The following is a 22,767-nucleotide window of genomic DNA, read 5'->3' as shown; positions in this document are numbered from 1 at the left end:
GGTGTGGTGGCGGACGCCTGTAGTCCGAGCTACTCGGGAGGCTGAGGCAGGAGAATGGCGTGAACCCAGGAGGCGGAGCTTGCAGTGAGCTGAGATCGCGCCACTGCCCTCCAGCCTGGGCGACAGAGCGAGACTCCGTCTCAAAAAAAAAAAGAAAAGAAAAAAAAAAGAAATACATGCCCCTAGATTAAACTATCCCTTGTCCTTTTGCACTCATCCACAAGTCTCTTTTCATCAGTGATTTTAGGATCTGACTCGTTGTCTTTTTCTCTACTTCAACTACTTTTATCATTCTTAATTATTTCTGTATCGTCAATCAATCCAGTACCTGCCTCTTAGTTTCAAAATCACTTACTCTTGCTTAGCTATTACCAGTAATCATAACCACTGTCAAATCTCAATTGCAAGCATATTACTCTTTAACTACCACCTCCTATCTTTAAACCATGTTTTGTCTGTTTTTTTATTCCAGCCATTCTTTAAACCCTACTGTGGGGCCCAAGCATTTCCTTTATACGCATTCTTCCTTTCTTCTACTGCTTATTTTCTGTAATCCGTCATCATAATCACTCCATTGCATTCTTCAACGTGTTTCCCCTCTCTCCCTCCATCATACTTGAATGACAAAAATCTCAACCCTGGTTAAACCACATCTTGGCCTTGTCCATTCCTGTACCAGAGTAGCTGGACGTGGCTAAAAAATAACATAAAACATGATGATTGGTTTTACTTTTTTCTTAAATGATCTATCCATCCATTCACCCATCCATCTATCAAAGTGACTAGGCCTATTTCTGAAGCCCAGGCTGGAGTGCAGCAGCATAATCACAGCTCATTGCAGCTCCAAACTCCTGGGCTCAAGTGATTCTCTTGCCTTAGCCTGTTGAGTAGCTGGGACTACAGGCTTGTGCTACCACACCTAGCTAAGGTTTTACTTTAAATTTATTATAATCACAAAATTCAGATGAGCCTTTAGTGCTGTCTGATATTTCTACTATGTTTTCTTAGTGATGTACCACCCTCCAAGGTGTTTATAAAAAATTATGTACCACTCTCCAAGAAGTTTATAAAAAATAATGTGCCACCCTCCAAGGTGACTAATTTCACAGCTTATGTCTTTAAACCTTTAAGCACTTTCCTCTCCCTTACACACCTTCCTTGTGGCTTTCCGTTACATTCTGCTGAGAACATAGAAGCAATTAAAATTATGTTCTTTCTACCAGCAAATTTATCAATTTGCTTATATCTTCACCTGTGCTTTGAGCCTATTTAAATAGATGAATGGTCCCCTACCTCTAACCAAAACCAGTCCCTCACTTGTGGGCTGGATCCCAGCTCTTCTCACCTACTCAAGATGTTCCTGCTTTCATCTCTCCACTCTCTTATATAATCAGTTCCCCCCCCCTTTTTTTGTAATATTCCTATAAGCAGTAAAATAAGCTTTTTATTTCCATTGATTAAAAATAAAAATCCTCTCTTAATTCCATGAAACTCCAGCTGCCTCCCCATTTTTATTTTTTCCTTAGGATTGTCTCTAGTGTGCCTTCTCCTTTTCTTGAACTCTGCCTCCTGGGTTCAAGCGATTCTCCTGCCTCAACCTCCCGAGTAGCTGGGATTACAGGCGTGCACCACCATGACCGGCTAATTTTTTTTTTTTTTTTTTGAGATGGAGTTTCCCTCTTGTTGCTCCGGCTGGAGTGCAATGGCGTGATCTCGGCTCACCGTAACTTCTGCCTCCTGGGTTCAAGCGATTTTCTTGCCTCAGCCTCCCGAGTAGCTGGATTTACAGGCATGTGCCACCATGCCTGGCTAATTTTGTATTTTAGTAGAGATGGAAGGGGTTTCTCCATGTTTGTTAGGCTGGTCTCCAACTCCTGACCTCAGGTGAGCCGCCCACCTCGGCCCCCTAAAGTGCTGGGATTACAGGCATGAGCCACTGCGCCTGGCCCCGGCTAAATTTTTTTTTTTTTTTTTTGTATTTTTAGTAGAGACAGGGTTTCACCATATTGGCCAGGTTGGTCTCGAATTCCTGGCCTCGAGTGATCCACCTGCCTCAGCCTCCCAAAGTGCTGGGATTACAGGCGTGAGTCACCTTGCCTAGCCATCTTTTAGTAATGGTATTTGGAGATCACAATTTGAGTGCTGGCATGCTTATTGCTGCTGGGTTTGTTATGTAGTTATTGTGAATTCACATTTAGGAATATAGGGTTTTTAATTCTTTGATTTTAGATACTTGTATCTTTTTTCTTTTATATTTAAAACCTTGGTTCCTGATGATATCCCTTCTTAGAAACCCTGTCTACCTTTGGCCTTCAGCCCACCATGCTGTGGTTTTCCTAACTTGCTGCCTGCACTTTTCAGATTCCTTTCATGGATCTTAAATATCATCTGTAAATAAGATCTATGTGTCAATAATTACCAAACTTTTATCTTTAGTCTTGACATCTACCCTGAACACCTAGCTTTGACTAACTCCTAGCTTTGGCATCTCCACTTGGAAATCCAAAAAGTGTTTCAAACTGAACATGTCTATGAAAGACTTATTTTTTTCTCTCTATCCATGCTATCCATCAGGTTTTCCATTTCCATAAGGGTGACTCTTGTACTCTGGTTCCTATATATTATACCGACAGAGCAGCCCAGAGTGCTTCTTAACCAGTGTAAGGCCTGTTATGTCCCACCCTCACTCTTTGTCCTTCAGTGGCTTCCCAGCACACTTAGAATAAAATCTGAAGTCTTAGGCCGGGCTTGGTGGCTCATGCCTGCAATCCCAGCACTTTGGGAGGATGAGGGGGCAGATCACTTGAGGTCAGGAGTTGATGAGACCAGCCTGGCCAACATGGTGAAACCCTGTCTCTACCAAAAAATACAAAAATTAACTGGGTGTGGTGTTGTGCACCTGTAGTCCCAGCTACTCGGGAGGCTGAGATAGGAGAATCACTTGAACCCGGGAGGCAGAGGTTACAGCGAGCCAAGATCATACCACTGCACTCCAGCCTGGGTGACAGAACGAGACTCTCAAAAAAAAATTAAAAAAAAAAAATATGTGAAGTCTTGAATAAAACCCAAGATCTTTACCATGGCCCCTGAACAGGGCAGAGTATCCATTCTTCAGACACTCTTCATAGAATACCATGGTGAGCTGGCATATTTATTATACAATACAGAAACAATTTTACTGGCAGAAAACACATTAAACCGTCTAAACTCTGAATACAGTTGTCCTCATAAAAAATGTTCAACATACTATTTTGAGGTTTTCCATTAATAGTTCTTATAATCTTTGTCCCATTATGTGTTAATCCAACAAAGGATATCCAATAACAAACACCAAAGTTTAAGAAAAATGTGCTAGGCGCGGTGGCTCACACCTGTAATCCCAGCACTTTGGGAGGCCGAGGTGGGCAGATCACCTGAGGTCAGGAGTTCGAGACCAGCCCAGCCAACATGGTGAAACCCTGCCTCTCCTAAAAATACAAACATTAACTGGGTGTGGTGGTGGGTGCCTGTAATCCCAGCTACTCAGGAGGCTGAGGCAGGAGAATCGCTTGAACCTCCTGGGAGGCAGAGGTTGCAGTGAGCTAATATTGCACCACTGCACTCCAGCCTGGGTGACAGAGTGAGACTCCATCTCAAATTAAAAAAAAAAAAAAATTAATGATAGAGAAACTTAAATCAGTTAGATTGTTTTAGGTATAGCCCATCCTTGGTTTTTGTGTGTAGCATCTAGCTTGGGGAAACCCTGGATTTCTGGAATCATATTTAGACACAGTCACACTAGACTAATGTAATTCTTTTGGGATGCAAACCACACGTTTGACACCTTAAATAGCTTTTAGGTATTTGGCTTCCCAGCCCCTATTTTTAGTTACAAGGGGTGTACATGTGTGGGTCAGGGTGGGGGTAGCTCTTTCCGCAGATGATTAGTTTTAGCCATGTTACTAGTTATTGCACACATTATCTGTGTCCTCACAGCAGCCCTGTGAGTAAGTGTATTAGGGTTCTCTAGAGGGACAGAACTAATAAGGTAGATGTATATATGAAGGGTAATGTATTAAGGAGTATCGACTCGTATGATCACAAGGTGAAGTCCCACAATAGGCTCTCTGCAGGCTGAGGAACCAGGAAGCCAGTCCAAGTCCCAAAACCTCAAAAGTAGGGAAGCTGACAGTGCAGCCTTCAGTCTGTGGCAAAAGGCCTGAGAGCCCCTGGCAAACCACTGGTGTAAGTTCAAGAGTCCAAAAGATGAAGAACTTGGAGTCTGATGTTTGAGGGCAGGAAGCATCCAGCATGGGAGAAAGATGAAGGCTCAGCAAGTCTAGTACTTCCACACTCTTATTTCTGCCTGCTTTATTCTAGCTGAGCTGGCAGCTGATTAGATGGTGACCACCCAGTTTGAGGGTGGGTCTACCTCTCCCAGTTCACTGGCTTAAATGTTAATCTCCTTTGGCAACACCCTCGCAGACACACCCAGAAACAATAATTTGTAGCCTTCAATCCAATCAAGTTGATAATATTAACCATCACAGGAAGGTACTAGTATCATATGTTTAACAGTAGAAACCAAGACAAATGCAGCTAGGAAGTGGGAGAACTGGGATCAGATGCAGGCAGTCTGATTCTAAATCAGTTGCTGTTACCCACTCTGACAACAGTAAGTGAGTAGCCTGCTCAGTCAAGTACTATATTAGTAGGGCCCTTTACAGACATATTTATTTCTCACAGTCACTCAATGAGACGGCTCTTCCAGTCTTACAATGGAGAAAGTGAGGCTCAGAGACTTTAAGTAACTTACCTTAGACGACTTTACTAGTAAGTATAAGAATCATTATTTGGACTAAAGTCTTTCTGAATCCTCAGCTTGTATTTTTTTCCAGTGTTCTGTGCTGCCTTTTTATCTACTAGTGTTTTACATCAATTTTGAATCTCTTTACTAACTGGTTAGGTTGATTTTTGCCTTTTTTTTTTAGGTTATTCTATATTTGTCGTTAAGGGTGATCTGCCAGATTGCGAAGCTGACCAACTCCTGCAGATGATTAGGGTCCAACAGATGCATCGACCAAAACTTATTGGAGAAGAATTAGCACAACTAAAAGAGCAAAGGTAAAAATGAGGCCTGCAGTATGGAATATATGGTAGTATTTCATTATGAGAATTAAATTTTCATGCTTAGATTGAATATGTGGTCCTTGTGTTGTTGGCGACTCTATTTTGGACCTTATATTTTAGTGAAGTTTATTAGTTTAAACTTGAATCAACTCTTTGAAATACTTAAATATATTAACTTAGTTAGCTGGTATGGTATATTCCTAGCACTTCGGGAGGCTGAGGCAGGCTGATTGCTTCAACCCAGGAGTTCGAGACCAGCCTGGGCAACATGGCAAAACCTCATCTCTACAAATAGTACAAAAATTAGCCAGATGTGGTGGTGTATGCCTATAGTCCCAGCTACTTGGGAGGCAGAGGAAGAAGGATCACCTGAAACTGGGGAGGTAGAGACTACAGTGAGCCATAATCACACTACCGCACTCCAGCCTGGTCGAGAGAGTCAGACCCTGTCTCAAAAAAAAAAAAAAAAAGAAACGGAAAAAAAAAACTTAGTTGGATTCAAATTGCAACACAATCATTATATTACTAGAGCTTATTTGCCAGAAAACATTTTAAGTTTTGACTTACTTAAAGCCTTTACATTACAAATGCCTTTATGTTATGTCTAAAATAGAAGATTGGTTGCAGTTATTACCAGTGCTTTTGTTCTTTAGAGTCCATAAAACAGACCTGGAACGAGTGTTAGAAGCAAATGATGGCTCAGGAATGTTAGACGAAGATGAGGAGGATTTGCAGAGGGCTCTGGCACTAAGTCGCCAAGAAATTGACATGGAAGATGAGGAAGCAGATCTCCGCAGGGCTATTCAGCTAAGTATGCAAGGTAAAGACATTCTGATGTGTGTTGTATTCATTGCTGAAGAATTGATTCCAATTATTCTTAGATTTCATGGAAGTTAATGTACTCTTAGAGGTGTTTTGACAATTACTGCAGAAGCAATAGCTATATAGTGGGCTTTCCCTTTAGATTTCTTATAATGGAAATCACTTTTTACAACCTATATTTTATTAGGAGTAGTTATATTTTTACTCCTGGTTATTTTATTTGGTTTCAACACTGTACTAACACAATAGTAAATTGTGGTTTTAATCTTTGTGGGTATCAGTTGACCCTTATCCAAATCAGCTGTTACATAAATATGTGCCATTAGACACTATGGAAGGGCCTGGACAGGGAATATAAACTGATTTTACAAAAACCCAACATTTATTGGCTATGCAACTTAAACCGTAAGCCCACTTTGGTGGGCCCAGTTTTTTAGTGATATAAACTATCAATAGAGAAAAGCGAAAACATATCCCCTAGACAATCTAGGCAAAGAAAAATGTTAAGACATAGCTCAAAGTAGCTTAATTAAAAGTTTGAAGTGGGTTTTTTGTTTTATTTTTTTCTAACTCATATGTATTTGCTTCTACTTTCTAATGAAATTATTTATCAGTTGATTTCCTTAGATATCTAAATAAAATTGAAATTTCATTAATGGGAAGATTATTTTTATCCTGAACTTTTCTTGCCTCTATGCATGCCTCTGAGTACTCCATATGGTGTGCAATCCCATTTTTGATTAATAGAGTCCTGCTGGATTAGCAGGGACAGAAATCAGCTTTAGATTTCTTTCTTTTTTTTTTTTCTTTCTTTTTTTTTTTTTTTTTTTTTGAGTCAGAGTCTCACTGTCGCCCAGCCTGGAGTGCAGTGATCTTGGCTCACTGCAACCCCTGCCTCCGAGGTTCAAGCGATTCTCCTGCCTCAGCCTCCTGAGTAGCTGGGACTACAGGCGCCTACCACCACGCCCAGCTAATTTTTTGTACTTTTAGTAGAGATAGGGTTTTGCCCTTTTGGCCAGGCTGGTCTTGAACTCCTGACCTCAGGTGATCCACCTGCCTTGGCCTCCCAAAGTGCTGGGATTACATGTGTGAGCCACCACGCCCAGCCAGAAGAGTAGAATATTCTTAAAGAGAAAACGTTTTAAAGGCTTACTCAAATGAGTATAAACAAACATATTGTTGCTTGAATTGGTAAATACAGTGATTGGTTTTTGTTGTGTTGTGTTTTGTTTTCAGGTAGTTCCAGAAACATATCTCAAGATATGACACAGACATCAGGTACAAATCTTACTTCAGAAGAGCTTCGGAAGAGACGAGAAGCCTACTTTGAAAAGTAAAGTAGTTGGTACAAGTTAAAGTAGCATGTTTAATATTTGCTTTGGCTATTTTGTCTATTTGTAAATGGTTACTGCCTGAATCCTGTGAATATTTGAATGTATTTTTTAAAAATTTACAGCAAATAGGACGGGCACGGTGGCTTACGCCTGTGATGCTAGCAGTTTGGGAGGCCAAGGCGGGCAGATTGCCTGAGGTCAGGAGTTCGAGACCAGCCTGGGCAACACAGTGAAACCCCATCTCTACTAAAAATACAAAAGAATCAGCTGGGCATGGAAGCGTGCGCCTGTAGTCCCAGCTGCTTGGGAGGCTGAGCCAGGAGAATTGCTTGAACCCGGGACGTGGAGGTTGCAGTGAGCCGAGATCGCACCACTGCCCTCCAGACTGGGTGACAGAGTGAGACTCCGTCTCCAAAAATATATGTATATATATATAAATAAAAATAAAAATTTACGGCAAATAACATGAAACAAAAAAACCTTGCCCCAATACTGGATAAATTTTTTAAACTGAGTGAAGGAAACCTTATAAAATTTCATTTATTAAAAGAAAAATGAAATTAGGACAAGACAAGAAGAATGCCAATTGATCCTTTGGATGTACTTCTTGCTTACCTGATTAACCCTGCAAAATTCCTCTACCAATCAGTACGAAAAACAGCTTTGGAGGTATGGGAGCGCATTCCCAAATAGACGTGGTAGTTCATTTAGCTGCTCATGGCCGCTTCAGGCAGTCCTGTAAGCCTGTTAGCATCAGGGGAATGGATGCAAACCATAAATCTGGATCAACTCCTAAAACCTTACCTTGTGCCCAGCCTTGTAAGTGCTTGCTAAATAGGAATTCCACCATATGAAAATACATTCTTTTCAAGTAACTATCATTCAGACTTTTGTCCCCCACTTTTTTTTTTTAAAGAAAAATAAAAGGCTGGGCACGGTGGCTTACGTCTGTAATCCCACCATTTTAGGAGGCCAAGGCAGGTGGATCACCTGAGGTCAGGAATTCAAGACCAGCCTGACCAACATGGTGAAACCTCATCTCTACTAAAAATACAAAAATTAGCCGGGCATGGTGGTGGGTGCCTGTAATCCCAGCTACTTGGGAGGCTCAGACAGGAGAATCGCTTGAATCTGGGAGGCAGAAGTTGCAGTGAGCTGAGATAACGCCATTGCACTCCAGCCTGGGGGACAAGAGCGAGACTTCGTCTCAAAAAAAAAGAGAAAGAAAACTTCATGTTAAAGATTACAAGATAAATAATCAGACCCACTGATCCTAGGTCAGAAAACAGAGTCATAGCTCAATCTGACTTACTATTTGCTGTATTTCATCCATTCTGAGATGCACATAGTTTCACATTTCAATGTCTCTGAAATTGAGAAGCATCTTACAGTCATAATTGACAGTATATTAGCAGCACCTATAAATATTGGCTCATTTTACATTTGATGGTATAATGAAGAAAATATTTACCTTTTTTTCTGTTTTGTTTTTAAGTCACAACTCAGAAGTAGATGAAGGAAAATTCTGATCAGCTGACATCCTCTTAATGTGAGATATTTCTAGTCTTTATTCAGTATAGATTAATGGCTAATTATATGTTAAATTTCAAAGTAGTGCTTATTAGTGCTTTTTACTTTTAAGTTTCAAAATTAACTTTTTTATTATAATAAACTCCAAATTTATACAAAAGTAGAAAAACTAGCATACTCCTGTTTATGACCCAGATTCAACAAATACTAGCACACGGCCAATCTTGCTTTTTTTTTTTTTTTTTTTTGAGATGGAGTCTTGCTCTGTTGCCCAGGCTGGAGTGCAATGGCACAATTTCTGCTCACTGCAACCTCTGCCTCCTGAGTTCAAGCGATTCTCCCACTTCAGCCTCCCAAGTAGCTGGGATTACAGGTACACACCACCATGCCTGGCTAATTCTTGTATTTTTAGTAGACACGGGATTTCACCATGTCGTCCAGGCTGGCCTTAAACTCCTGACCTCAAGTGATCCACCTGCCTCGGCCTCCCAGAGTGCTGGGATTACAGGCATGAGCCACTGAGCCCGGCCCAATCTCGTTTTATAATACTCCCATCTCCCATTCTTTCCACTGTCCCACCTGCAAGTTTGGATTATTTTGTAACAAATCTCAATCATCATATTATTCTATAACCATTTTAATATGTGTCTCTAAAATATATTAGCTTTATTTTTAACATAGTTAAATGCTATTGTCATAAAATAATAATCATAATAATTAATTGTAATTCTATATCATCAATTATCTAGTTAATGTAAAAAATAAATCTAAGGCCAGGCGCGGTGGCTCACACCTGTAATCCCAGCACTTTGGGAGGCTGAGGTGGGCAGATCACCTGAGATCAGGAGTTCAAGACCAGCCTGACCAACATGGAGAAACCCCATCTCTACTAAAAATACAAAAAATTAGCCAGGCGTGGTGGCGCATGCTTGTAATCCCAGCTACTTGAGAGGCTGAGGCAGGAGAATCACTTGAACCCGGGAGGCGAGGTTGCGGTGAGCCGAGATCGTGCCATTGCACTCTAGCCTGGGCAAAAAGAGTGAAACTCCATCTCAAATAAATAAATAAATAAATAATAAAAAATAACTTAAATCTACTTAATTAGAAAAACTAACATTCTAAAAATTTTATTTTAAGAAATATCAAAATTGGCTGGGCACGGTGGCTCACGCCTCTAATCCCTGCACTTTGGAAGGCTGAGGTGGGCGGATCACCTGAGGTCAGGAGGGTCAGGAGTACAAGACCAGCCTGGCCAACATGGCGAAACCCTGTCTCCACTAAAAATACAAAAATTAGCCAGGCATGATGATGGGCACCTGTAATCCCAGCTACTCAGGAGGCTGAGACAGAAGAATCGCTTGAACCCAGGAGGTAGAGGTTGCAGTGAGCTGAGATCACCCCACTGCACTCCAGCCTGGGTGACAGAGTGAAACTCCGCCTCAAAAAAAAAAAAAAGAGAAAAGAAATATAGAAATTAAAGCATACATGGCCAGGCGTAGTGGCTCATGTCTGTAATCCCAGCACTTTGGGAGGCTGAGGCAGGCAGATCACTTGAGGCCATGAGTTCAAGACCAACCTGGCCAACATGGCGAAAGCCTGTCTCTACTAAAAATACAAAAAAATTAGTTGGGCATGGTGGTGCACACCTGTAATCACAGCTACTTTGGAGGCTGAGGCAGGAGAATCGTTTGAACCCAGAGGTGGAGGTTGCAGTGAGCCGAGATTGTGCCACTGCACTCTATCCTGGGTGACAGAGCGAGATACTGTCTCAAAAAGAAAAAAAAAAGGCTGGGCGCGGTAGTTCATGCCTGCAATCCCAGCACTTTGGGAGGCCGAGGCAGGCAGATTACGAAGTCAGGAGATGGAGACCATCCTGGCTAATACAGTGAAACCCCGTCTCTACTAAAAAATACACAAAAATTAGCTGGGTGTGGTGGCAGGCACCTGTAGTCCCAGCTACTCTGGAGGCTGAGGCAGGAGAATGGCATGAACCCGGGAGGTGGAGCTTGCAGTGAGCAGAGATCACACCACTGCACTCCAGTCTGGGCGACAGAGCGAGGCTCTGTCTCAAAAAAAAAAAAGAAAGCATACTCTCACCTCCTTCAGTGACTGATGTTAGTATTTTGGCACATTCTTTTTCTGTGACATATACACACTTACCTTGTAAGTGTTGTACTCATTTCCTATGACAGTAAATAGTCTTTGTAACAGGCTGCATGATATTTCATAAAATGAATGGATGTGGCATAATTTATATGTGAGCCTTTTGAATTCTGCTATTATAATTAATATTGCAATGAACAATTCTTATATTGCCTCTACACCTCAAATGTCTTATCATTTCTTCTAGTTTTTCTGAGGATGTCAGATTATTGGGTTAAAGGATATGAACATTTTTAAGGCCTTGGAACAGATTTCTAAATTGCTTTCCAGAATAATTCCCATGTGATACTTTCACCATGTTTATTTCAGACTTTTTTTTTTTTTTTTTTTTGAGACGAAATCTCACTCTGTCACCCAGGCTGGAGTGTAGTGGCATGATCTCGGCTCACTGCAACCTCCGCCTCCTGAGTTTAAGCGATTATTCTGCCTCAGCCTCCCAAGTAGCTGCGGTTACAGGCAAGTGCCTCCATGCCTGGCTAATTTTTGTGTCTTTTGTAGACATGGGGTTTCACCATGTTGCCCAGGCTGGTTTCGAACTCCTGAGCTCAGGCAATCTGCCTACCTCGGCCTCCCAAAGTTCTGGGATTACAGGCGTGCACCACCGCGCCCAGCCATCAGAGTCTTTTTTGTCAAAATAAAATGGTCTAAAGACATACATCATAGAGAAACTATAATACAAAATTTACAGGTATATCTAAGAAAAGAAAAGTATATTTAAAGCATAAAAATAAACTGCTCTTTTACTTAAAATTTTTTAAAAACTGGATTAAAAATATGAAACTTCCAACAAATTGAGCTTTTTTTTTTTTTTTTTTCTTTTTTGAGACGAGGTCTCGCTTTTGTCACCCAGTCTGGAGTGCAGTGGCGCGATCTCGGCTCACTGCAACCTCCACCTCCCTGGTTCAAGCAATTCCCCTGCCTCAGCCTCCCAAGTAGCTGGGATTACAGGCGCATGCCACCACGTCGGGCTAATTTTTTTGTATTTTTAGTAGAGAGGGGGTTTCACCATGTTGGCCAGACTGGTCTCGAACTCCTGATCTCAGGCAATCTGCCAGCCTGGGTCTCCCAACATGCTGGGATTACAGGCATGAGCCACTGCACTCGGCCTGAACTTTTTATAGTAGTAACGATAATTCAGTAATGTCCAATAATGACTAAGTAAGTTATAACAAGTACAATGTCAGCAATAACTAGTGCTTTTTAGTAAACAGGGTCAGGCAACCTTGTACCCTTTTAAAAATGTTCGAATATCGATATACCTCCTTCCTACTTGGTGGAGGATTGATTGAGGAGGAAAGTGTGCAGTGATGGTTACCAGCTTCAGCCTCTTGGCTTGACTTTGCAAATACTGGTGAGAATTTGGAAAGAGCTTGAGAATATCTTACATAGTCACATGTTGCTGAGAAGAGTTAAGAACTAACTTCTTGATGTTCATTTTTAACAATGGCTTGCATTCAAAACCTTGTAGAGCTCATTAGTAGGAGCTAAGAAGCTAATATTTGCCTTTCACTAAAATTCCTGATTACTTAGCCTAGGTAGTTCGTTGTCTCTCTAGGTTCTGTCTTTGGGAGCTTGGGTCTAAGGTTATCAAGCTAACTCTTTCTTCCCTCTCACCCTTCCCAAATTGACCCTGGTGCTGATTTGTTATTCATACGATTTTCTAGTTTTTCTTTTCCCTTTTTGAGTATTTGAAGCTTCATACTGAATATAGTAATCATAGTATTCATGCATAAAGAAAATCATAAAGTAATTGCATAAATGCATAAAGTAATCATAGTTTTCATGCATTAAAAAAACTAGTTTTGGCTGGGCGCTATGGCTCACGCTTGTAATCCCAGCACTTTCGGAGGCCAAGGCAGGCGAATCATCTGAGGTCAGGAGTTCGAGACTAGCCTGGCCAACATGGCGAAACCTCTTCTCTACTAAAAATACAAAAAAATTAGCCGAGTATGGTGGCGGGCGCCTGTAATCCTAGCTATTTGGCAGGCTGAGGCAGGAGAATCACTTGAACCTGGGAGGCAGAGGTTGCAGTGAGCCGAGGTTGTGCCATTGCACTACAGCCTAGGCGACAAGAGCAAGACTCCATCTCAAAAAAAAAAAAAAAAAAAAAAAAACTCCCTATTACAGATTCATAATTTATGAGTCATTAAATAATATTTTCAAGCCATGACATTTTTTCCAGCAGTAGTCTCTAAATCTGTTTTACCATCATAAAACCCCAAGCAAAACTCTACTACATCAGCTGTGTCACTGTAAAACCTGCCTTAACTCACAGAAGCATGAAATTAAGCAATGTGTGTGAAACTATTTTATAAACTGTAAAGTATTCCATACATACATGTTGGCAGTTATTAATGTCTTCTCTAGGTGTGGCTTTGAAATGGATGCAGATGCTTTCTGTTACAAAAAACATAAGTTGCAAATGTTCTATAACAAGGAGAGACACAAATATCTTCATGGACATGGATTGCTATGAGTGTTTGATTGCCTAATACTTGAGCCACCACTTCAGTGATATGGTATAATTTATCAAACAGTGTTGAGAAACAGAAACTACTGGGGATGTTTTAAAGAGGAAAATACTTAATATAGAAATTAGGGGTTTACATAATCTTAAGAAAGGATGAAGGTGCAGCTCTTAGCCAGGCCTCCACAGTACCACAAACCAACTTGCAGGAAGAGCTGTAACCACTGCCCCAGTTGGGACAATGGGTAATGAGGATATTAAATTTAAGAACATACTGCTATAGCAATGATCCTTGGCATAGAAAGCTGCCACCACAATTGCCTAGAGATGGGAACATGAAGTCTGGCCCCCATTGCAACAGCAGTGAAGCAGAATTTTGGGACTGGCATCTCCCAAATGGCTTTGCTTGCCACCAGAGAACAACCAAAGTGGAGGGAGATGGCTAGGCCTCATTTCTGCCTATTTTATTTTATTTTTTGAGACGGAGTCTTGTCTGTCGCCCAGGCTGGAGTGCAGTAGTGTGATCTCGGCTCACTGCAGCCTCCGCCTCCCAGCTTCAAACAATTCTCCTGCCTCAGCCTCCTGAGTAGCTGGGATTACAGGCACCCGCCACTGTGCCCAGCCAATTTTCTTATTTTTAGTAGAGGTGGGGTTTTGCCACGTTGGCCAGGCTGGTCTTGAACTCCTGACCTCAGGTGATCTGCCCGCCTCAGCCTCCCAAAGTGTTGTGATTACAGGTATGAGCCACCATGCCTGGCCCATTTCTCCCTTTTTTTTTTTTTTTTTTTTTTGAGGTGGAGTCTCACTCTGTTGCCCAGACTGGAGTGCAGTGGTGCAATCTTGGCGCATTGCAACCTCTGCCTCCCAGTTTCAAGCAATTCTTCTGCTTCAGCCTCCTGAGTAGCTGGGACTACAGGTGTGTAGCACCACACCTGGCTAATTTTTGTTTTTGTTTTGTTTTTTTTGAGACAGAGTCTCACTCTGTCACCCAGGCTGGAGTGTAGTGGCATGATCTGGGCTCACTACAACCTCCGCCTCCCGGGTTCAAGCAATTCTCCTGCCTCAGCCTCCAGAGTAGCTGGGATTACAGGTGTGCGCCAACACACCTGGCTAATTTTTTTGTATTTTTAATAGAGATGGGGTTTCACCATGTTGGCCAGGCTGGTCTCGAACTCCTGACCTCGTGATCCGCCCGCCTCGGCCTCCCAAAGTGCTGGGATTACAGGCATGAGCCACCGTGCCCAGACAAGGTTTGTATTTTTAGTAGAGACAGTTTTGCCATGTTGGCCAGGCTGGTCTTGAACTCCTCACCTCAGGTGATCCGCCTGCCTTGGCCTCCCAAAGTGCTGGGATTACAGGCGCAAGCCACTGTGCCTGACCCGTTTCTGCTTTTTAAAGCTCATGTGAGCACTTAATTTGTAACCAGAATCCTACTTGTAAAATAATCTAAGACATGTAGCTTTTAGCTTTGTAACCTCTATAATATTGATGGCACAGTGGGAGTGGATGCTGAGTACCACTTGAACATGTTCCACCTCAGTGTCTTCACAGCTGGAAGGTGTCTACATTGTTTCAAGGTGGACAATTGATTTACTTCTCATTTTTCATAAACTAAAAGTAGAATAAAGGCTATTCCTCTAAAATTGCTATCTCACCTGTCACTCCCTTGCATTCTCACATACCTTCTTGAGTGGAGGGGCAGAGGGCATGGAGTGATAGCAGATGTGCCAGGAATTCTCCATAACTCAGTCCGTCCCTCTTGTGCTATGTTGCAGCATCAGGATTTGCTAATGGGAGGATACTGCCCTTACGTGCATCATTAGCCATGCACACTAAGGTCTTACACCTACACACAGGTCAGTATTCTGGCTCAGAGACCAACAGGGAGAAATTGCAGTTCTCATTAGTTGAACTTTCTTTATTGTTCACAGTTTTAAAACACAAAATTGAGAGGAACTCTATAAAAAATGTGCCATTCTATTAATAATTGTTGCTGGTAATTTAAAAATCCTTGTTCCTTTTCAAATTCTTATATACCTTTTTTTTTTAAACACTTGATCTTAGCCAAAAGACCGAGAAGCAATCTTTTTTTTTTTTTTTTTTTTTTTTAACCTATAGCTTCTCACTGAGATTGTCAGCTGTTTGTAAGTTTTGGTTTTTGGTTTTCTGTGTTTGTATTTACATATATGAAATACAGATTGAGTATCCCTTATCCAAAATGCTTAAGACTGGAAGTGTTTTAGATTTGGGGTTTTTTAGGATTTGTGAATATTTGCACTATACTTACCAGTTAAGCATTCCAAATCCAAAATTTCAAATCTGAAGTGTTCCACTGAGCACCTCTTTTGAGTATCATGTTGGTGCTCAAAAAGTTTCTGATTTTGGAGCATTTGGATTTCTGATTCTCGGATTTAGGATGCTTGACCTGTAATTTCAGATTTACATAAAAGCAGAAATAGTACACAGAGCTCCTTATATCCTTCACCCAGATTCCCCAATTATTGGCCTTTCTGAACCATTTGGGAATAATATGCAGATATGATTTTCCATTATGTCTCAGTTGTTCAGTGTATATTTTCTAAGTACAAGAATATATTCCTACATATTTACATGATAACCGTCATGTTTAAACATTTTAAAATGGGGATTTGTATTACATTGTTTCTCTTTTTGAAAAAATTACAGAGGAGCTTAATGCAATCAGTATTACTTAAAATCTGATAATGTGTGTTAAATAGTAGTTTTCATTTATTTCATTTATCAGGTGTTCAGTGAATGCTTACTATGTAACAGCACAGTTATCAGCACTGGGGAAATAGATGAGTAAGATAAGATTTGCACTTTCATTAGCTTACATGCCATAAAGAGGGAAATAAAGAGAACACCAGATGATGATAAGTTTATGCTGAGAATTAAAATGAAGTGATGAAATAATGGGAATGTCAGGTGGCTACTTTTGGTGGGATGGTCAGGAAAGGCATCTCTGGGGAGATAAATTTTAAGCTCAGACCTGAGTGAAAAGAATGAGCCAGCCATGGAAACATTATGTTAACTCACATGGTAGTTTGAAATGCTTTATCTGATCAAAGGTACTTATTTTTGGTGACTTTCAACAATATTAAGGGTCTATAAACCAACACTCATTTGCATAAGAATAACTACCAGTGAATCTTTTTGTATGATAGGTTTTTTGTTTGTTGTTTTTTTGAGACAGAGTCTCGCTCTGTCGCCCAGGCTGGAGTGCAGTGGCGCGATCTTGGCTCACTGCAACCTCTACCTCCCCGGTTCAAGTGATTCTCCTGCCTCAGCCTCCCAAAGTAGCTGGGATTACAGGTGCCTGCCACCACGCCTGGCTAATTTTTGTATTTTTAGTAGAGATGGGGTTTCACCGTGTTGTCCAGGCTCGTGTCAAACTTCTGACCTCAAGCCATCCACCCGCCTCGGCCTCCCAAAGTGCTGGGATTACAGGTGTGAGCCACCACTCCTGGCCATGATAGGTTATTTTGTGATGAAAATACCTACCTCTTAATTTGTCTGATAAATTTAAATTTTATGTCTAGATTTCCTAAGATCAGCACTTCCATATTTTAAAGTAATCTGTATCAGACTAACTGCTCTTGCATTCTTTTAATACCAGTGACTACTTTGATTCGTGAAACAATGTATTTTCCTTATGAATAGTTTTTCTCATGGTGTATTTATTCTTTTAAGTTTTGTTTTTTAAATATACTTCACTTTTGAATGTTTCAGACAGCAGCAAAAGCAGCAACAGCAGCAGCAGCAGCAGCAGCAGGGGGACCTATCAGGACAGAGTTCACATCCATGTGAAAGGCCAGCCACCAGTTCAGGAGCACTTGGGAGTGATCTAGGTAAGGCCTGCTCACCATTCATCATGTTCGCTACCTTCACACTTTATCTGACATACGAGCTCCATGTGATTTTTGCTTTACATTATTCTTCATTCCCTCTTTAATCATATTAAGAATCTTAAGTAAATTTGTAATCTACTAAATTTCCCTGGATTAAGGAGCAGTTACCAAAAGAAAAAAAAAAAAAAAAGCTAGATGTGGTGGCTCACATCTGTAATCCCAGCACTTTGGGAAACCAAGGCAGGAGAGGATTGCTAGAACATTTAATGAATACTTTAACATAATAATTTAAACTTCACAGTAATTTGTACAGTCTCCAAAAATTCCTTAGACATCATGGATATTTTTCTTTTTTTGAGATGGAGTCTTGCTCTGTCACCCAGGCTGGAGTGCAGTGTCGCGATCTCGGCTCACTGCAAGCTCTGCTTCCTGGGTTCATGGCATTCTCCTGCCTCAGCCTCCTGAGTAGCTGGGACTACAGGCGCCCGCCACATCGCCTGGCTAATTTTTTGTATTTTTAGTAGAGACAGGGTTTCACCATGTTAGCCAGGATGGTCTCAATCTCCTGACCTCATGATCCGCCCGCCTCGGCCTCCCAAAGTGCTGGGATTACAGGCGTGAGCCATCACGTCCGGCCAGAAATCATGAATATTAGTAGGTGAAAAATAAACACATTTTACCACCTGGAAAATGAAAAATACTTGAGTATAATCTAAATAACAATGGGAAGTGCAGAGTTACTTTCCAGGTCTCGGTTTAAATATGTCTTAAACTTTGGCCAATTAGTAGTAGAAGTTGAGAGAAAAAGTAACTATCTGACAAAGAAATTATAAGCAGAATATATAAAGAACTCTTAAAACTGAATAATCAGAAAACAACTCAATAAAAAGGTGAAGGATTTGAAAAGATATTTCACCAAATAAGACATAGGGATGACAAATAAGCACATGAAAAGACTCTCAGCATCACTAGTCACAGGGAAATGCACGATAAAACCACAGTGAGACACCATGGCACCCCTGTAGGTATGGCTTTAATGAAGAAATAAAACTGACAATACCAAGTGTTGGCAAGGATCCAAGCAGCTGAGACTCATATACTGTTAATGGGAATGTAAAAGTGTACAGCTTTGGAAAACAGTTTGGCATTTTTTTGATAAATGTATACTTAGCCATGTGATCCAGCAGTCCCAATCATGTATATATAACCAAAAGAAAAGAAAACTTAGGTTCACATAAAAACTTATATCAAATGCTTATAGCTGACCAGGCATGGTGGCCCATGCCTATAATCCCAGCACTTTGGGAGGCCGAGGTTGGCAGATACCTGAAGTCAAGTGTTCGAGACCAGCCTGGCCAACATGGCAAAACCCTGTCTCTACTTAAAATACAAAAATTAGCCAGGCGTGATGGCAGGCACCTGTAGTCCAGCTATTCAGGAGGCTGAGGCAGGAGAATCACGTGAACCCGGGAGGCAGAGGTTGCAGTGAGCCGAGATCGTGCCACTATACTCCAGCCTGGGTGACAGAGCAAAACTCTGTCTCAAAAAAAAAAAAAAAAAAAAGGGCTGGACACGGTGGCTTACGCCTGTTATCCCGGCACTTTGGGAGGCCAAGGCTGATGGATCACCTGAGGTCAGGAGTTCAAGACCAGCCTGGCCAACATGGTGAAACCCCATCTCTACTAAAAATACAAAAATTTGCTGGGCATGGTGGTGGGCACCTGTAATCCCAGGAGGCTGAGGCAGGAGAATCACTTGAACCCGGGAGGCGGAGATTGCAGTGAGCCAAGATTGTGCCATTGAACTCCAGCCTGGGTGACAAGACCAAAACTCCTTCTCAAAAAAAAAAAAGATTATAGCATCTTTATTCATCATTGCCCAAAATTACAAACTGCCTAAATGTAGACCTTCATTTAGTTAATGAATGCACAAACTGTGGTATATCCAAACAATTGAATAAAAAAAGGAATGAACTGGTACTTTTTTCTATTCCTCCTGTTTAAGTACAGCCAAAACACCTCAACATTTGTATAAAACATGAGCTGGGCTGGGTGCGGTGGCTCACACGTGTAATCCCAGCACTTTGGGAGGCTGAGGCGGGTGGATCACCTAAGGTTGGGAGTTCAAGACCGGTCTGACCAACATGGAGAAACCCTGTCTCAACTAAAAATACAAGATTAGTCGGGCATGGTGGCGCATGCCTGTAATCCCAGCTTCTTGGGAGGCTGAGGCAGGAGAATTGCTTGATCCCGGGAAGCGAAGGTTGCAGTAAGCTGAGATTGCACCATTGCACTCCAGCCTGGGCAACAAGAGCAAAACTCTGTCTCAAAAAGAAAAAAAAAACCATTCAGCTGAATCTCAAAGGCAGAGAGAAGACAGACTGGCTAGGGACCTTGGAACCAGAGGAGCAGTGTGGTGGGGAGTGGACTGGATTTTCTTTTTGCCTCATTTATCCTGGACTTGGTGCTGGAGAAGCTATGGGTTCAGACCAAGAGAAAACCCCATGAAAAGCCTGCTCTCTCTAGCCAAAAGAGGCAACCTAGCAAGATAAAAACCTTTAGATAATAAGCACTTGACTCCAGTCAAACAAAACAGAATAAACTGGCCCCATTCACCCCTGTCAGCAAAGGCCAAGTGGGAGCCAAGATATGTACCCCAACCTGGAAGTCATAAGGTACACTTCTCCCCTTTCCCAGCCAAGGTGGTGTTAGAGAAGGCTGACTGGGGAGCTGGGATTCTCATTCCCTCCAGGAGGTGATAACACTCCTTTCACATGGTGTCAGTGGTCACAGGGAGGCTGAACTTCCACCCAGTAATACATAGGCATCTCTCTGGCTCCTATATGGGTGATGTTGGAGAAGAGGCCGAGTAGAGAATCCAGACTGTTGCTGACACCCAGCAGTAACAAGGACACCTCCACAATGTCCGTGGAGGCCATGTGGAGATCAGTAACAAGGCACTGCTCTCCCTCCCAGTCAGAGAGATGTCAGTGGAGGACTAGGGGGCTAGAACTCCCATGTGCGTTCAGCAGTAATCCCCATGACCGCCACTCCTTGACATCACAGGCCTTGAAGAAACCTGGACTTTCACTCCCCTCTGGTTGTAGCGAGGTGGCACTCCCTTTTCCCTGTTGCCAGTGCTGTGTCAGTGGAGGCTTGCTAAATTGGAAGATGTAAATAAGATTCACATTCTCATAACATAATACCCCAAATTTTCAGGATTTAATTGAAAATCACTAAGCTGGGCATGGTGGCTCACACCTGTAATCCCAGCACTTTGGGAGGCCAAGGTGGGCCAAACACTTAAGGTCAGGAATTCAAGACCAGCCTGGCCAGCATGGTGAAACCCTGTCTCTACTAAAAATACAAAAATTAGCTGGGCGTGGTGGCACATGCCTGTAATCCCAGCTACTGGGAAGGCTAAGGCAGGAAAATCACTGGAACCTGGGAGACGGAGGTTGCAGTGATCCAAGATCGCACTAGTGTACTGCAGCCTGGGCAACAGAGCAAGACTCCATCTAAATTTGTGTCAGGATTCCCAGAAGGAGATGAGAAAGGGTGGGGCTGAAAAAAATTGAGGAAGAAGTCATGGCTGAAAATTTCCCAAATTTGGCAAAAGTCAGAAACCTACAGATTGAAAAAGCTGAATGAAGCTCAAATATGATAAACTCAAAGAAGTTCACACAGAGACACATCACAGTCAGATTTCTGAACACTGCAGACAAAAAATGAAGATCTCGAAATTAGCAAGAAATGACCTTACCTAAGCAATTTGAATGACAGCAGATTTCCCATCAGAGATCATAAAGGCCAGAAGGAAGGGGTACATACAACATTTTTTCTAGTGCTGAAAGACAAAAACTCTAGGCTGGGCACGGTGGCACACACCTGTAATCCCAGCACTTTTGGAGGCTGAGGCAGGCAGATCACCTGAAGTCAGGAGTTCGAGACCAGCCTGGCCAACATGGGGAAACCCTGTCTCTACTAAAAATACAAAAATTAGCCAGGTGTGGTGGCACGCACCTATAATCCTAGCTACTTGGGAGGCTGAGGCAGGGGAATCGCTTGAACCTGGGAGGCGACGGTTGCAGTGAGCCAAGGTCGCGCCACTGCACTCCAGCCTGGGCAGTTGAGCGAGACTCCATCTCAAAAAAAAAAAAATTATCCAGGCTTGGTGGTGGGCGCCTATAGTCCCAGCTACTTGGGAGGCTGAGGCAAGAGAATTGGTTGAACCCAGGAGGTGGAGGTTGCAGTGAGCCAAGCTCATGCCACTGTACTCCAGCCTGGGTGACAGAGCGAGACCTTGTCTCAAAAAAAAAAAAAAAAAAAAAAAACAAGAAAAAAACTCTAAACCCAGAGTTACATATCCAGTGAAATATCCTTCAGGAGTGAAGGGAAAATTAACGATTTGTCTTCAGGAGACCTACCCTAAAAGAATGGCTAAAGGAATTTCTCTAAACAGAAAAGAAATGATAAAAGAAGTAATTTTGGAACATCAGGAAGGAAGAAAGAACAATAAAAAGAGTAAAATATGGGTAAACACAATAGACTTTCCCCTCCTTTTGAATTTTCTAAATTGTATGATGGTTGAAGCAAGAATTATAGCACTGATTTGGTTTTCAGTATATATATTGGAAATATTTAAGGCATTATGTTACAGATGAAGGAGGGTCAAAGGATATAAAGGGAGGTAACCTTTCTATATTTCTTTTGTACTGATGCAGGCACTTTGGAAAATAATTTCACTATTTGTTTAAAAACTGAACATACCCTGACCATATGACATAGCATCTATACTCCTGGGCATTTATCCCAGAGAAACAGAAATTTATTTATTTTTTTTTTAGTATTACACTCCGTAAGTGCTGTAATACTAGCACTTAGGGAGGCTGAGGCAAGCAGATTGCTTGAGCCCAGGAGTTCAAGACCAGCCTGGGCAATGCTGCACAGTCAAAAAAGAAAAACAAACATTTAGAAAACTATTTTAAAAGTCTTTAATTGCTGAATGCCTCTTTGGCTAATATTTGGAAGATCATTATTATTATTTTTCTTTTTTAGGCAGAGTCTTGCTCTGTCACTGAGGCTGGAGTGCAGTGGCGCCATCTCGGCTTACTGCAACCTCTGCCTCCCGGGTTCACGCCATTCTCCTGCCTCAGCCTCCCGAGTAGCTGGGACTACAGGCGTGTGCCACCATGCCCGGCTAATTTTTTGTGTTTTTAGTAGAGATGGGGTTTCACTATGTTAGTCAGGATGGTCTCCATCTCCTAACCTCGTGATCCGCCCACCTCGGCTTCCCAAAATGCTGGGATTACAGGCGTGAGCCACTGTGCCCAGCCTGGAAGATCATTATTTAGTCCTACAACTGACACATTGTTCCACTGACGCAATTGCCCAGGCTGGTCTTGAACTCCTGGGCTCAAGCAATCTGCCTGCCTCGGCCTCCCTAAGTGCTAGTATTACAGGCTTGAGCCACT

At 42.0% G+C, this 22,767-nt stretch overlaps 1 protein-coding gene across 33 annotated transcripts in view, besides 2 other annotated features; it reads left to right on the top strand.

Moving 5' to 3' along the window:
* The window catches only part of ATXN3 (ataxin 3), a 61,808-nt gene that overhangs the window by 18,354 nt on the left and 20,687 nt on the right, over positions 1-22,767 (top strand). For 13 of the 33 annotated variants that reach the window (NR_187583.1, NR_187584.1, NR_028466.2 and 10 more), the window contains 4 exons: positions 4,971-5,103; positions 5,763-5,929; positions 7,168-7,264; positions 17,176-17,294. Coding sequence is in view for 12 of the 33 variants with exons in the window: in NM_001164779.2 (NP_001158251.1) it covers positions 4,971-5,103; positions 5,763-5,929; positions 7,168-7,264; positions 17,176-17,294 (516 nt within the window). In the remaining 21 variants the exon portion in view is untranslated. Of the gene's footprint in view, positions 1-4,725; positions 4,817-4,970; positions 5,104-5,762; positions 5,930-7,167; positions 7,277-8,760; positions 8,815-17,175; positions 17,295-22,767 lie in introns of all 33 variants that reach the window. The other 20 variants (NR_028470.2, NR_028460.2, NM_001164782.2 and 17 more) reach the window with 9 other exon arrangements.
* Positions 17,177-17,218: a tandem repeat, named in NCBI's record as "ataxin 3 repeat instability region".
* Positions 17,177-17,218: a repeat instability region, noted in NCBI's record as "repeat instability region; expansion of the (CAG)n trinucleotide repeat (CTG relative to the plus strand of the reference genome) is associated with spinocerebellar ataxia type 3". NCBI's record gives the evidence for it as "EXISTENCE:polymerase chain reaction evidence [ECO:0000082][PMID:7874163]".

Source organism: Homo sapiens, chromosome 14 (assembly GCF_000001405.40).
Source record: "Homo sapiens chromosome 14, GRCh38.p14 Primary Assembly".
Taxonomy (NCBI): Eukaryota; Metazoa; Chordata; class Mammalia; order Primates; family Hominidae; genus Homo; species Homo sapiens.
The sequence above is the reverse complement of the archived record's forward strand: the minus strand, read 5'-3'. Positions and strand labels throughout refer to the sequence as shown.